Source organism: Homo sapiens, chromosome X (genome assembly GCF_000001405.40).
Source record: "Homo sapiens chromosome X, GRCh38.p14 Primary Assembly".
Lineage (NCBI taxonomy): Eukaryota > Metazoa > Chordata > Mammalia > Primates > Hominidae > Homo > Homo sapiens.
In genome coordinates, this window is record NC_000023.11 from 151,693,592 (window position 1) to 151,706,601 (window position 13,010).

A 13,010-nucleotide genomic window follows, 5' to 3' on the forward strand; every position below is an offset into this window, starting at 1 on the left:
GCCTCATGTGGCTGGAGCCAGAAGCTAAAGTGGGAGTGCCAGAAGGAGGGCAGAAGCCATAGACCCTTGTGCACATACTGGAAGAGCTGCTTTTTTAACAGTCAAGTGCACAAGGGTCTATGCGGTGTTAAGATCACGATGGGAACATGCTGGTGGGCTAGGAAACTCAAGAGGTTAGTTCCAGAAGAGTCTGTGGAATTCTGCCCCACAGGCTCCGGAGGCATGGGGGGAAGGCCATAGAAGAGCTGTCGTGGGTAAGGAAGATTCCTGCAGCCGTGAAATAGCAAGCAAGCTAGGGAAGAACTCTAACAGGAGGCAGAAATGGAAGGGAAAGCACCATGCGGGGAGAGAAGTGTAGAGGCAGGCATCGGGGGAGCTAGGGGAGCCAGGCCCTGGGGGTTGGAGGGGAGGCGGCCGGTGGCAATGAAGGCCTTCGCCCACCCCTCTTCCGCCCCCTGGCAAGGCAGGTTGCTAATACCCGCCCTGGGATAGGGGTGGGAGTGGTTCTGGAACCGCCTTCTGAGACTCATTCCCATCAAAAGCAACACTTGGGGTGGAGGGAGGAAGAGGACGCCAACCCCAGTGCCTGGCCGGGTTCTAGATGTGCAGAGAACAAAAAGGAACCCTAAAAACCCAGCATCCCCTTCTCCGAGGGAGGCTTTCCTAGACCCAGAACCTCAGCCCACCCGGAACCCCTTTGCCCCTCTCTTAGCAGTGGACCTGTCATGTGGTTCCTCCTGGACTAGTGTAATCTCTGCTATGCGTCTTGTCCTGCCATGCTGAACTTCTCACAGTGCGGCCTCCGAAGGAGCCCCCATCTAGCGCTCCTTGCAGTCGCAGAAGATTCCTTCTCCCCTTACTGAGCCTTAGAGTTTTCCAAACCCATTTCCTCCTTCAAATCGCTGCAGCCTCGCGAGGGAGGCAGAATTCTCCCCATTTCTCGGACTTTGCAGGAGAGAAGCCTGCCTTCCCGGGGCAGGGTGGGGGTAGGTAAGTGAAGAAGCCAAGGTCACCCAGTCATTGGCGGAACGCGGCCTCGACTCGGTCCTTCTTCTGAGGGCCCTGTGGATCCCTGGCAAGGCAGGCCTAGGTTGCAGGCTAGCCCCCCTCTCTTTTCGTTGGCCCCAGGAGCCCGGCGGGCCTGAATGGCAGGTGAGCCCGGGGGGTGGGGACAGGACGCGGGTTGGGCTGCGCAGGGACGCCTGGCGCGCGGGCCTTGGGAGCGGCCGCCGGAGCTCCCTGCTACGCCGTATCTTCCGAGGGCCCACGCCTTGGGTCACGACTGGACCAGGGCTTTGACCAAGGGTCCTCTGTGTGCCCCAGGCCCGCCAGTCAGGCCCCGCCCCCCGGCGGCACGGGCGGGGGCAGGGGCGGCGCCGGCAGAGTGGGGCGCGGGCGCGCGGTGCTCGGTGCGCGCCGCCGCCCCTCCGGCCCGGCTTGCCCGCCCGCTCTCCCAACCCCCTCGGCCCACTCCGTCGCCCCCACCCCTCCTTCCTCCACTCGGCCAGGCGGCCGGCGGCCCGGTGCGCGGGGCAGCGCGACGATTGCGGCCTGGCGATCGGGGCACTGCGGTCGTGGCGCGCGAGGCGCGGGGCGCGAGGCCAGCCCTGGAACGGCGGGGTGTGGGGGGCGGGCAGCTGCGGAGCCCCCAGAGGAAAGCAGGGGCAGGCAGGGGGGTGCCGAGGTAATGGGCCGGGCCTGGGCGCCCGGCTGCGAGGGGCGGGGGTTCCAGGCGCACTTCGGCCCTGGAGGGGCGGGCGACAGGGTGCCCGGGGCGGTGGGAGGGCAGCGGGGAGGGGAGGAAGGGAGGGAGGAGACGGCTGGGCCGGACCGGGGGGCTTGGCCGACGGGGAGCAGGTGGGCGGGGACAGGGCCCCTGCTGGAAGAGGCGCAGCAGCGAGGTGGCGGGCTGCGTGCGCAAACAGGGCGGCCGCCTTCTGGGCCCGGAGAACGGTGAGGCCATTTGGGTTGGGTGTCCCAGTCCCGAGGGCACGGTTCGGTATCCAGGGCCAACGAGCTGGGTGCAGGGCATTGTTGAGGAGGGAAGATCTAGAGGCCTGTCCGGGCCAAGGGGATGGGGCGTATTGAACAGCTCCGGGAGAAGAGTGTTGCTGGGTCAGGGCGCTGGTGTCCAGCGAAGGTGGGCGAGGACAGGCACTTTCAGGGCTGGCCTGAGTGGAAAGGGACAAGGGGGCCCCAGAGTTTGAGTTTGAGCATAATTTGGGAGTTGTCGTGTCACTGGGTGGGTCGATGAGTCATGCGATTTGGAGAACCCTTTCCTGGCGATCAGTTCTGAGGGATGGAAATAAAGTCTAGGGTTTGGAGAAGTGGTTTGGAGGCCATGTCTTGGGACACCAGGTGCTCTGGTGGTCACCAGGCTTCATGTGAGGGACTTTGGGAGTTGTGTCCCAGAGGCCTGAGATTCAGAAGCTTCAGTCTGGGGTGGAGTTAAGCAAGGTCTTTGTGGTGGCCAGTTCCCTGCCTTCCTTCCTTTCCAGGCTGTCAGGATTCAGCTGTGTTCCTGCGGGGAGTGGGTTAAAAATTCCTTCCGCCTACAGTCAGCTTTACAGTATCCACCAGGGGCATGGGGGACATATACATGTGTGGCTGCAGCATCATTCTTTGTCGTGGAGCCCTCACGATTGCTTCCTTATTGTTGCCATAGTAACTGTCTACTGATGGTGTATTTATAGGGGAAGAAGCAGGCGCTACATTTTGGGGAGGGAGGGGGAAGAGGCCTCGTGGCAGGCAGCAGCAGCAGTGAAGGTGGCTACAGAATTGCTAATGGAGTGGGCCATGCCATGGGAACTGTTTTGGGGGTGTTCCTGGCTCGACTGAAGCTTAAAAATGAACTGGTGACTTTAGCAGGTGCGTCAGGATAACATGTATTCGGGTCTATGATAGGTGTGACATATAGCCACCTTTGACCAAGGCTAGGTGTGTGGGGGACAAAAGATGGATATATGTAATCTATTATGTAAATTTTTCTCCATTTTTTTAAAAAACCACTGCAGTTTCCTTTGATAAGCATATTTTTCTCTCTTCCCTTATTAAGACTATATGCATTCTTCTCAAACCCAGATACAACAGCTCCATTTTTCTTCAAGCAAAAAATCCTTGCCATGAGGCATACTATATCCACACCCTCACCACATAAAGCTCAGGTATCCATAATGCAAGCAGAATTTTGAGATCATATTCCATCTTGGTTCTGACAAACATTGAGGGCCAACTGTCTCACAAGGCAGGCCATCTGTTGACAAATTCACATGTTGATAGTTTTGAGGGAGATTGTTGCAGGGTTCAAAAGAGAAAGCCCCTTGATGTGGCGTTTCCACAAATAGATGTCAGATCTGCTGTTTTACCTTTAATTTTCTTTTCTTTCTTTTCTCTCTTTCTCTCTTTCTTTCTCTCTTTCTTTCTTTCTTCCTTCCTTCCTCCCTCCCCTTCCCTTCTCCTTCTTTCCTTCCTCCTTCCCTTCCCTTCTCCTTCCTTCCTTCCTTCCTCCCTCCCTCCCTTCCTTCCTCCCTCCCTCCCTCTCTCCCTCCCTCTCTCCCTCTCTCCCTCTCTTTCTCTCTTTCTCTCTTTCTTTCTTTCTGGCTTTGTAACCCAGGCTGGAGTGCAGTGGCGCAATCTCAGCTCACTTCAATCTCCGCCTCTCTGGTTCAAGCGATTCCCCTGTCTCAGCCTCCAGAGTAGCTGGGACTACAGGCATGCACCGCAGCATGCCTAACTAATTTTTGTATTTGTAGTAGAGATGGGGTTTCACCATTTTTTGGTCAAGCCAGTCCCAAACTCCTGACCTGAGGTGATCCGCCCGCCTCAGCCTCCCAAAGTGTTGGGATTATAGGCATGAGCCACCGCGACCAGCCTAAATTATTGATTTATATCCTACCTGTTTGCCAAAAGGATTAGGTGGCATATTATAAATGCACAATAGGACACTGGAAACATAAATAGAAAGCTGTATACCACATCGCAGGACAGAAGCATATGTGCTTAACAGCTGGGCTTCCAGGGTGCCTGTGCTTGACTGGCAATAGTGACGCTGAACTTCCTGGCAGCCTAGGCAAAAAGGAGGGCTCAATGGATTCCACAGTTCACGTGTCTTGCATCCAGTTAGTCATCAAACCAGAGCTTCTGCTTGGGGAGGGGAGCAGTGGGGTGATTGCTCCCAGATGTGGACAGCTCAGCAAGGGCTCTAGAATGTGTGTATGAGTGGGCGTGTGTATTGTGGGGAGGGACAGAGGGAGCAGTGTGCTGTGACCATGGTTTAAGTACTGGCTGGATAGCTCCTTAGCAGGAGAAAGGCTTTCTGACAATAGCTCACATTAGGGGCAACTCTTGTAGTTAGCGTCTCAGTGTCGGGCATCTAAATTCATGTCTTGGCACTCTACTGCCATGGGCTTTAATGCAAAGAGAGAAGAGAGGCCTGGTTCCAGAAGATTCCAGGTATCTTGCCTCTTTGTCTGGTGAAGATGAACACAGCGGGTCACCTGGGTTTGGGCCTTCTGATTATGCCTGGGAATATGAAGAATGCAGCATTGTTGTGCATGGAGGATGAGACCCTGTAGAAGATGTGTCCACTGAAGGTTGCTATAGGCTAGTCCCAGCAGGGCAGTGACTTTTGAGATGGTTGATGCTGTGTTAAGCTTTGTTTTCAGGGAACATGCTTGTCATTGGAGGTATCTGTGACTCACCATTGTGCTCAAAATTAGTTGTGAATTCTGGTCCTGCCACTGTCACTGTTGATTTGCTTAACCTTGTCTGAGCCCGTCTCTCTGGGCTGTATCTCCTCATCTATCTCTGAGGTCCTTTCCAATTGGAAGTTGCAAAGATTCATTGAGGGGAGCAAGGAAGGAGGAGCCTCAGCCTTTAGGAGCTTTCCTTTTTAAAAGAAAAAGGTCAACCCTTGGTTCTTATAGATGCTCAGAACATGTTCTTGGGGGAAAACGCTGAAAGGTTTGCTTTGGGCCCTACTGGGCCTGGGGAGGTCTCTGGAGAAGAGCTTGGGGCAGAATGAGAAGCAGCGGAAGCCATGGGTGGCTGCATGGAGGACGACGCACCCCACAAGGTGCTGCTTCAACCTTTTGACCACGCCAGTGGGAGGGGGGCACATCCCAGAGCCAAGAGTGTGCCCTGTAAATTTCTAGATGTGGTTTCACTGCAACTTTGCTTTTCTCTTACTCCAGAGAAGTGAGACCCTGCAGCTGAGGGAGCATCATGGCAGGTGAGTTTTTCCAGGCCTGGGCAGAGCCGTGGAGGGCCATGCCTAGGGGTTCATGAGTCAGGTTTCAAGTCCTTCCCAGCTTCCCTGCCCCCTACCCCCCAAGTGGGCCTGTAGCCATTTTCCAAATGGCTGAGTAGCAGTTTTGCCCTCTCAACTCTTTGGCTCCCTTCTGAAGTATATGTCACTTGTAGATGTGTACCTACCCAGGCTTCCCTGAGTGACACTAACGTGACAGGCCATAGGGCCTGGGGAAGGGTGCCTGCCTGCTGGCAAAGACATGCCAGCTTGGGCATCCAGGGGGAGTTGCTTTACATGGGAACCAGGAAGTCCCACCTCTAGGTGAACAACAGGAGCAAACGTCACCTCTTCTTTCATCCTTCACAGTCTCAACTTAGGCTTATGTGGGTGCAGAGCTCAAGCTATTCTGGTCAGCCTGTTTGTAGCTGGGTGTCTCTCTCTGGAATAAGTAGATATGCCCACCATCCAAAGACGGTATTGTAGGGAGATTCTGTGCCCCGTCTGTAAAAGCTTAGACTCTCCATCTGAACCCTGCTACTTCCCATCCCCAGAGGTGCTCTTAGGCTCGTGTATGCCCACTTGTCTGATCTAGCCTAGGCTGGCTTTGCATTAGACTTTCTTGAACAAGACTATTGATGCCAGACCACCTGGTGGCACAGGTGGATGTTCAGGTGGAGGAACACCACCCTGGTAGAGTCTTCTAGGATTATCTGGTATTAGTTCCACCAGTATCAGCCTTAAAGAGGAATACATTCTCATTGCAAGGGCTCCAACTTTCACTTTTCAAGGTGATGCAGAAGATACTGGAGCTTTAGTCACTGAACATTGCCTACTTACAATTCTTATTCTTTCTTGTTCCTGTGCAACGTGCACTTTCCTTGCAGTTGGCTACCATTTTCTTCCATGTAGCCAGGGACCTAAACCTTGTTGGGGCTGTGGTATTCTAGACAGGTGTATCATGGCACCATAGAATGTCAGCCCTTCCATCCCTTTCACAAAGGGCCGGCCATGTCCTTTGATCAGAAGCCTGGTGTCTTGCCTGCTCACTCGGCCTTGTTTCCCTGCATAATTATGCTTCAGTTGCTGGGCTGGGCCTGGTTTGAAGGAGCCCCTGGGCATCTCCCCATTCCAGGCCTCAGTAGGGCTCTCTCCTCAGTGTTTCTGGAGGCCAAGGATGCCCATTCGGTCCTGAAACGATTCCCTCGTGCCAATGAGTTCCTGGAGGAGCTGCGCCAGGGCACCATCGAGCGAGAGTGCATGGAGGAGATCTGCAGCTACGAGGAGGTCAAGGAAGTGTTTGAGAACAAAGAGAAAACGGCATGTACCACCCTGGGGCTGGTTCTGGGAGTAGGAGTAGCCTCAGGAATAGCAAGAACAGGCCCTGGTAATGCAGACCAATCAGAAGCAAGGAAAGACACCCAGCCTAAGGCATAGCCACTAGGGCCATCACGGAGCAGATAAAGTACGTACAGTCCCATTGCCTGACTCTTTTGGGGTCCTCCTCACTTGGGAGCATTGTCCTTTGCCCTTGGTACATTCTGCTGCCTCTCTGGTAACTCTGTGAGACAAGTCAGATGGGGAAGGGTAGGAAGCACCAGAGTTACTGAAGGCCTCTGAGCCCACCTGGAGCTTGAGCTTCTCTTAAGTACCACTTTTTCTTTTGCAGATGGAGTTCTGGAAAGGGTACCCAAATGCAGTCTACTCTGTCCGAGACCCCTCGCAGAGCTCAGATGCCATGTATGTGGTGGTACCCCTTCTGGGGGTGGCACTGCTGATTGTCATCGCCTTGTTCATCATCTGGAGGTGCCAGCTGCAGAAAGCGACCCGTCACCACCCCTCCTATGCTCAGAACCGGTACCTAGCCAGTCGCGCCGGGCACACCCTCCCCCGGGTCATGGTGTACCGGGGTACTGTGCATAGCCAAGGGGAGCCTTCTGGGCACCGAGAGGCAGCGAACAGCCCCCAGGTGGTGCTGGGGCCCAGTCGGGGGGGCAGGACCACAGTCCGGCTAGAGAGCACCCTCTACCTCCCTGAGCTCTCTCTCTCCAGACTGTCCAGCACCACCCCTCCCCCCTCCTACGAGGAGGTGACTGCGCCCCAAGAGAGCAGCAGTGAGGAGGCCAGCGTGTCTTACAGTGACCCACCCCCAAAGTACGAGGAGATAGTGGCCGCCAACCCTGGCGCTGACAAGTAGTGGGACGTTTGTGCCCTGTCCTGGATGAACGCCTCTTTCCGAGGTCTCCTATTTTCTTTTTAACTTTTTAAAGACTGTGCCACCACAAAACAGCCTTAGCCTCCTTGTTGCCAAATAATTCCCTAACTGTGGAGTTTTAGGAAGTCAGTTGTCAGAGACAGGTGGGGAGGGTGGGGGTAGGGACCACGCATGAGTCGAAGCCCCCGGGAAGAGCCAAAGGCCAAAGTGCCCAACTCTTTGGGATGACCCCCAAGCCTCCAACATCCTGTCTTTCCATCAGGAACTGGCTTCTCTTATGCCAAAGGAATAACCCCATTGAGTTGATTGTGGCCAGAATGTCCACAGGCCTGGCCTGGGGGCTGTGGGACTGGCTGGAGGCCTGCCTGTGTCTAGAGCTCTGGGCCTCAGGGGTAAGGGAAGGAAGCCAGCCTTTCAGCACCCCTTACCCTCCACAGTTCTGTGATTTCTGTCCTTGCTTACATTTGGAGGACAGGGACAAGGACTGAGCAAAAACAAAATGAAAAAATCATGACAAATAAATAATTAACACAATAGAACAAAACTCTAGCACCCGGGCCGTTCATAGGAGGCCAAGGGAAATTTATCACATGGATCTGTGATGTCCGCCTCCCCTAAAACCTGTCCCCACACTCCTGGAAGGAGGACAGGGTGTGTGAAGGATGAGGGCCAGAGGGCTGGGTGGCAGAGTTTCCTCTTCCACATTGACCAAGGGGCCCACGTGGACTCTGCCATTCAGTTTCTAGTGTGCTTGTCTCTCCAGACATGTGGACCAGCTGTGTTCAAACCACTACCCACTGGCATGAGCCTACTTTTTGCGAATGGTGCATTGAAATTGAACTTCAGATTGAGGATTTCTCCTTAACGATGGTGCGCATCTCAGGAGAAGATCCTAAAGTGTCCCTTTTAAAACATTTATTTGTGGAGAAGCCCGTGGCCTGGGGTTGAAGGCCCATATGGGGTTTGCTCTGCTGTTGCCAGGTGCCAGTCTGTTTTCAGTGAGGCTTTGGACAGCAGTGGGGCAGAAGGCACCTGCCCTTTAACTGTCAGTGACCATGCTAGACACTGTTGATACCACCTCCCCCTACTTCCGTCTCCATCCTCCTGACCTCAACACCAAACCATTTCTCCTCTGTGGTGCTTTAAAAATTGTAGCAAATTTTTGTGTGGTGCAAGAATGCATGGCCTGCGTCTATTGGCAACCACAGCAATTTAAAATCCACTGAGCTGACAAGCTTTTTTCTGTCAAAATATCTCTCTAAGGCAGACATTGGGACTCATTTCCTTGAATGCAGCCCTGCCTTCAGGCCACAGAGGACTTCTGGAGGCTGCTCTAGCCCTGAGGACTTGCCCTGGGACGTGCTTCCAGTTAGAAGGCTTGTGTCCCTACCCCAGTGAGGCCACCAGCTTGGACCACTCCACCCTGTGGCTGGGGTTTTCCATCCTTCCCCCTACCTCACAGGCCCGTTGGAGGCTGACTGAGCAAATGCCTGCGAAGTGCTTGAATTGCCGGGGAGCCAGCGAGGTTTGCCTTAGGAAGAGTCTTCTAGAAAGGTGTAGGTTATAAGGGAGCAGTCTTAGCTGAGGCCCTCATATGCCTCTGATGTTGAGTCTCCACTTGGAGAGTCAATCTCCCGTCAGTTGACCCTTTCCATCCTCTCGTCCTCCCTTTCCAGAGCTCCCTGATGCCAGAGATGCTGGTGAATGCAGGTGACATTCTACCTTTCGTTTCCTTGTCTTTCCCTCCCCTGGGCCTTCAGCATTGCACTCCTGCCCTTCATCACAAAGGGGTTTTTGGCTTAAGAGGCCCCTGCTTTTTCCATGTTGGGGGACCTGGGGAAGCCTGAAGCTCGGGGCTAGCCCTGGCTCTCCCAGTATTTCTTCAAGTAGGTGCCAGAGTGTGACCTGGGAGCAGGTGAGAAGAAACTTATCCCAATATGTCTACTCAGTTAGCACAGAGCCAGGCATGAGCTCCACTGATCAGAGCCAAAGGGAGTTTGCCAAGAAATGCCCGCTGCCTTTGGCATCTGAGTTGCAGCTGGGTGGTAATGGGAGAGAGCAGGAAGAGGCCCAAGGCCTGGCCCATGGAGGGCAACATGTGTCCTTCAGGGGCTGAGGACAGGCCGTGGGAAGAGTCACAGGAGGTTGCTTAAGGCCTGTGATGTTCGGTTCAGATGCTTCATGGTGTTCTGCCAGGTGGGGTTGCACCACGGTCTCTGGGATGGTTTCTGCAGCACATTGTAGAAAAAAGACTGTACAGCACACAGCAGGCATCACTCCTTGCGATGCACACTTGGATTTTATGAATGCCCTGTACATATCTTTTCAAACTCTGTGTTTGTATGGAGGTGGATTTGATACAATGCTGACTCTTTCGTGGCTACATTTTTGCTGTTTTTGGACTTCTATGTGTGTGTGTGTGTGTGTGTGTGTGTGTATCTATGTGTGCACGTTGCCTTTTCTCATTGCTTATCTGAAACAATAGCCGGTGTGCAGCTATATTTGTACCAGGAGGGATCCGGTCTGAAAAGAGGAATGTCACCTCCCCTCGCAGGGCTGAGTAGCCTGATGACAGGGCCCTGAGCAAGGAAACGTGGCATTAACTATATTGGACACCCAACCCCCAAAGTTGTCACTGTTTGCCTCCTTGAAAAAGGCTTTGGAAGAAGACAAAGCAGCTCCATTCTGCAGGTCTCCACCCTATGCAACCCCCGCTCACACGCCCTTTTGGCATGGTGCCCCTGGCCCAGGCTTCTGTTCTGTGGGTGTCAGCAGCTGAAAGAAATCTGAGTACTCCTGGGCATGGTTTTTTTTTTTTTTTTTTTTTTTTTTTTTTTTTTTTTTTTTTTTTTTTTTTTTTTTGTGTGTGTGTGTGTGTGTGTGTGTGTGTGTGTGTGTGTGTATGGAAAGATGTGTGACTATTGACTTTGGGTATCGCGGGACTAGTTAATTAGATGTTTTTCATTTTTCAAAAAGAAAAGGTTTTAAAAATTTTCTTGAAATGTGACTGTCACTTGTTTTCAACCAAAAACTTTTTAAGATTTTTTAAAAGAAAAATCGAAATCCTGTCCCTCCCCCGCTTCCCATCGCCTCCGGTTTTCAAAATGAAAGCACAAGTGCAAGAGTGGGGTGCACAGGTGCCTGGCGTGTACACACCACCCACACAGCTGCGTCCAGCCCTGGCTGAGGGAGACGCAGTGCTGAGCAGTCAGCCCCGGGAGGCCTCTTTTTCAACTTCCAATCCCACTGCCATGAATGTGAATTCCTTAGGGTGCTTCCAAAAACAGGAGTCTGCCTGATCTGTTGGACATTGCCTTTTTGGTAGCCCGAATATGAGGAATTCAGGACAGGAAAGTGTCTTTTTGTCAAGTAGTCAGAGCCGGATGCTTCCCCTCTCCCAGTGGGTGGAGCATCGCAACCCCCAGCCAGAGTTGATCTTTTGACAACCCAGTGACATCCCATGAGAAGGAAGAAAAAAAATTCAACACTGCCTCTAGATTGTTATTTTGTCCAAGAGAGAGATCATGGAGAGAGTCTCTCTCGCTCACGGAGGCTCTGTCTTTCTAGGAGTATGTGTGTGTGCTGTCTCATGTGTGGACACTCACAGTTGAGGCTGAGATGGATATCTTGGCAGCAGAGCTGCTGGTCTAGGTGGCTTTTCAGCTTGACAAGTAATGAAGCTCCATTTCAGGACTTCATCGATTCCGAAACAAGCACAGCCCCCCACCCCCCGCCACGGAACTCTACTAATACTAATCACTATAATTAGCTAATTTAAAAGTACGGTAATCAGACTGCTTGCAACTATTTTAAAAGCCCATTAATTTGAAGCCCACTACTTCAGAACTTCGAGAAAATCACAACTTAAGACAATTCACAGTAGCTGTGATTCTGGCTACATAAAAATATTTGAAATATTCTTCCCTTTAGTCAATGTTCAGGGTCTTTTGTGTAAGAGAAATCCAGTTTAAAATGAGTACCCTTTTCAAAGAAAAGGCTCAAGATATTAAGGATCCCTTCACCGTGCCTTCAGCTTTGCAGTTCAGCACTTCTCGTATGTACAGGGTGATCTCTTGTTCTCTCTCCATCACAGGGATGTTGGATATTGCAGCCTTTCACTCTACTCCGTTATTTATCCTGTGAATAACATAGTTTGTGAACTAGACTGCAATTTAAACTAATACACATGATGTATCTTTCTAAATATTCTGTAAAGCAGATGCTTCGCTGTCAGACTGGCCGCTCCATCATTCGCCTCCAAATATTCAAACGTGGGAGCTTTTCCTTTCAGACTGTGGGCAGCGAGTCTCTCTCTAGCAAGAATTTATCTGACAAACATACCCAAATAGCACACCCTCTCAAGCTCAATGCCTCAACAGTTGTTTCACTGTACTGATATCTGACTGCTGAACAGTGCCTGCCCTTCACCCACCCCCAGCCCGAGCATTAACACAGATCTTCAGGATTGGGACAAATCCCCCAGCTGCTTTTGCCTCTCAATCCATCTCCCCTCATCGATACCAATTTCCCAGGCCTGAACACATCTGTTATTTTGCTCTGACATTGTGAATTTGTGACAGTGGAAACCCTGATATGTGCAACTGAGCTTATAGAAATAATTACTGTGAAATGGATTAATTTTGATACCACTTTAAACTGTGCTTGTATTCATGTGTTGACCCTTGTCAGCTGGGAAATCTGTACATTCAGTATATGTCAGCATTTCATTGGAGCCTGGGGGCAACAGACAAACTTGCTTCTGATTTCTCTCTCTCTCTCTTTCTTTTTATAATTGTTGAATTTGGCTGTTACATTTTGTCTCCTTCTTTACAAGAAAACAATAATAATAAAGAGCAAATGGCATCCACTTGAATCCTGTCGTCATCCATCTTGGATCCCTGCTGACTCCCAAACTTCCAAGGGGTATGGGTGGTTGTGAGTCAGACTGTAGATAAGGAAGAAGCCCAAAACAGTCCAGGAGCAGGAAGCAGACATGTCCTGGGTCCTAAAGTTTGTCCCCAGTGTGTAAGATGATCTCCTGAGCCATCCTTCTGGGATGAGGTTGGTGAGATCTGTCAGAAATCACAGTTAGAAACTTGGTTTCAGAGCTGGGAGAGGAGCGGAAGGTATACAATACTCAGGCTTTGCCCTGGCTGGGCTTCCTAGGTTCTAAAGATGGCAAGGATCAGGGACTGTTCAGAGGGCAATAATGCCCAGCCTCTGCACAGAGGAAACATGGTCTTAGCTCCCAGAGATTCCCAGCTGTGGGTATGCAGAGAGATATAGCCACGGGAAGTCGCAAGTGCTAGTTGTGCCAACCCCAAGTAATGAAAGTCATCCGTCCTTTAATCGGGAAGACCCTGGAAGTGATGGGACAATGGCAATGAAATTTGGGACCTCCTTAGAGGACTGAATGTGGAGCCCAAATGCCAAGAATGGCAGCCAGAGGCCTTGGGGAGCTGGGGCTTGAGTGATGCTAACCTTCTGGGGATGCTGGAAACTCGAAGGCCCTTCAGGCACACAGATGGGGTCATATTCTGAACATAGGTT

At 52.1% G+C, this 13,010-nt stretch overlaps 1 protein-coding gene across 4 annotated transcripts; it reads left to right on the plus strand.

Annotated features, from left to right (window-relative positions):
• PRRG3 (proline rich and Gla domain 3) lies at positions 1,016-12,333 on the plus strand. Of its 4 annotated transcripts, none has more exons than NM_001372165.1 (4): positions 1,016-1,152; positions 5,193-5,230; positions 6,416-6,565; positions 6,915-12,333. In NM_001372165.1, the coding sequence occupies exons 3-4, from the start codon at positions 6,506-6,508 to the stop codon at positions 7,440-7,442; spliced, it is 588 nt and encodes a 195-aa protein (NP_001359094.1). In that variant the 5' UTR covers positions 1,016-1,152; positions 5,193-5,230; positions 6,416-6,505; the 3' UTR covers positions 7,443-12,333. The 4 variants fall into 4 exon arrangements, 3 of the variants coding, with proteins under 3 accessions (NP_001359094.1, NP_076987.3, NP_001359092.1); NM_024082.4 differs by lacking the exon at positions 1,016-1,152 and adding an exon at positions 1,382-1,684 and having other exon boundaries at positions 6,405-6,565; NM_001372163.1 differs by lacking the exon at positions 1,016-1,152 and adding an exon at positions 1,867-1,953 and having other exon boundaries at positions 6,405-6,565.

Excerpts from the sequence above, each read along its gene's own strand:
- PRRG3 (NM_024082.4), top strand. Across the intron at positions 6,566-6,914 it reads TTGAGAACAAAGAGAAAACG|ATGGAGTTCTGGAAAGGGTA; the intron begins GCATGTACCACC and ends TTTCTTTTGCAG.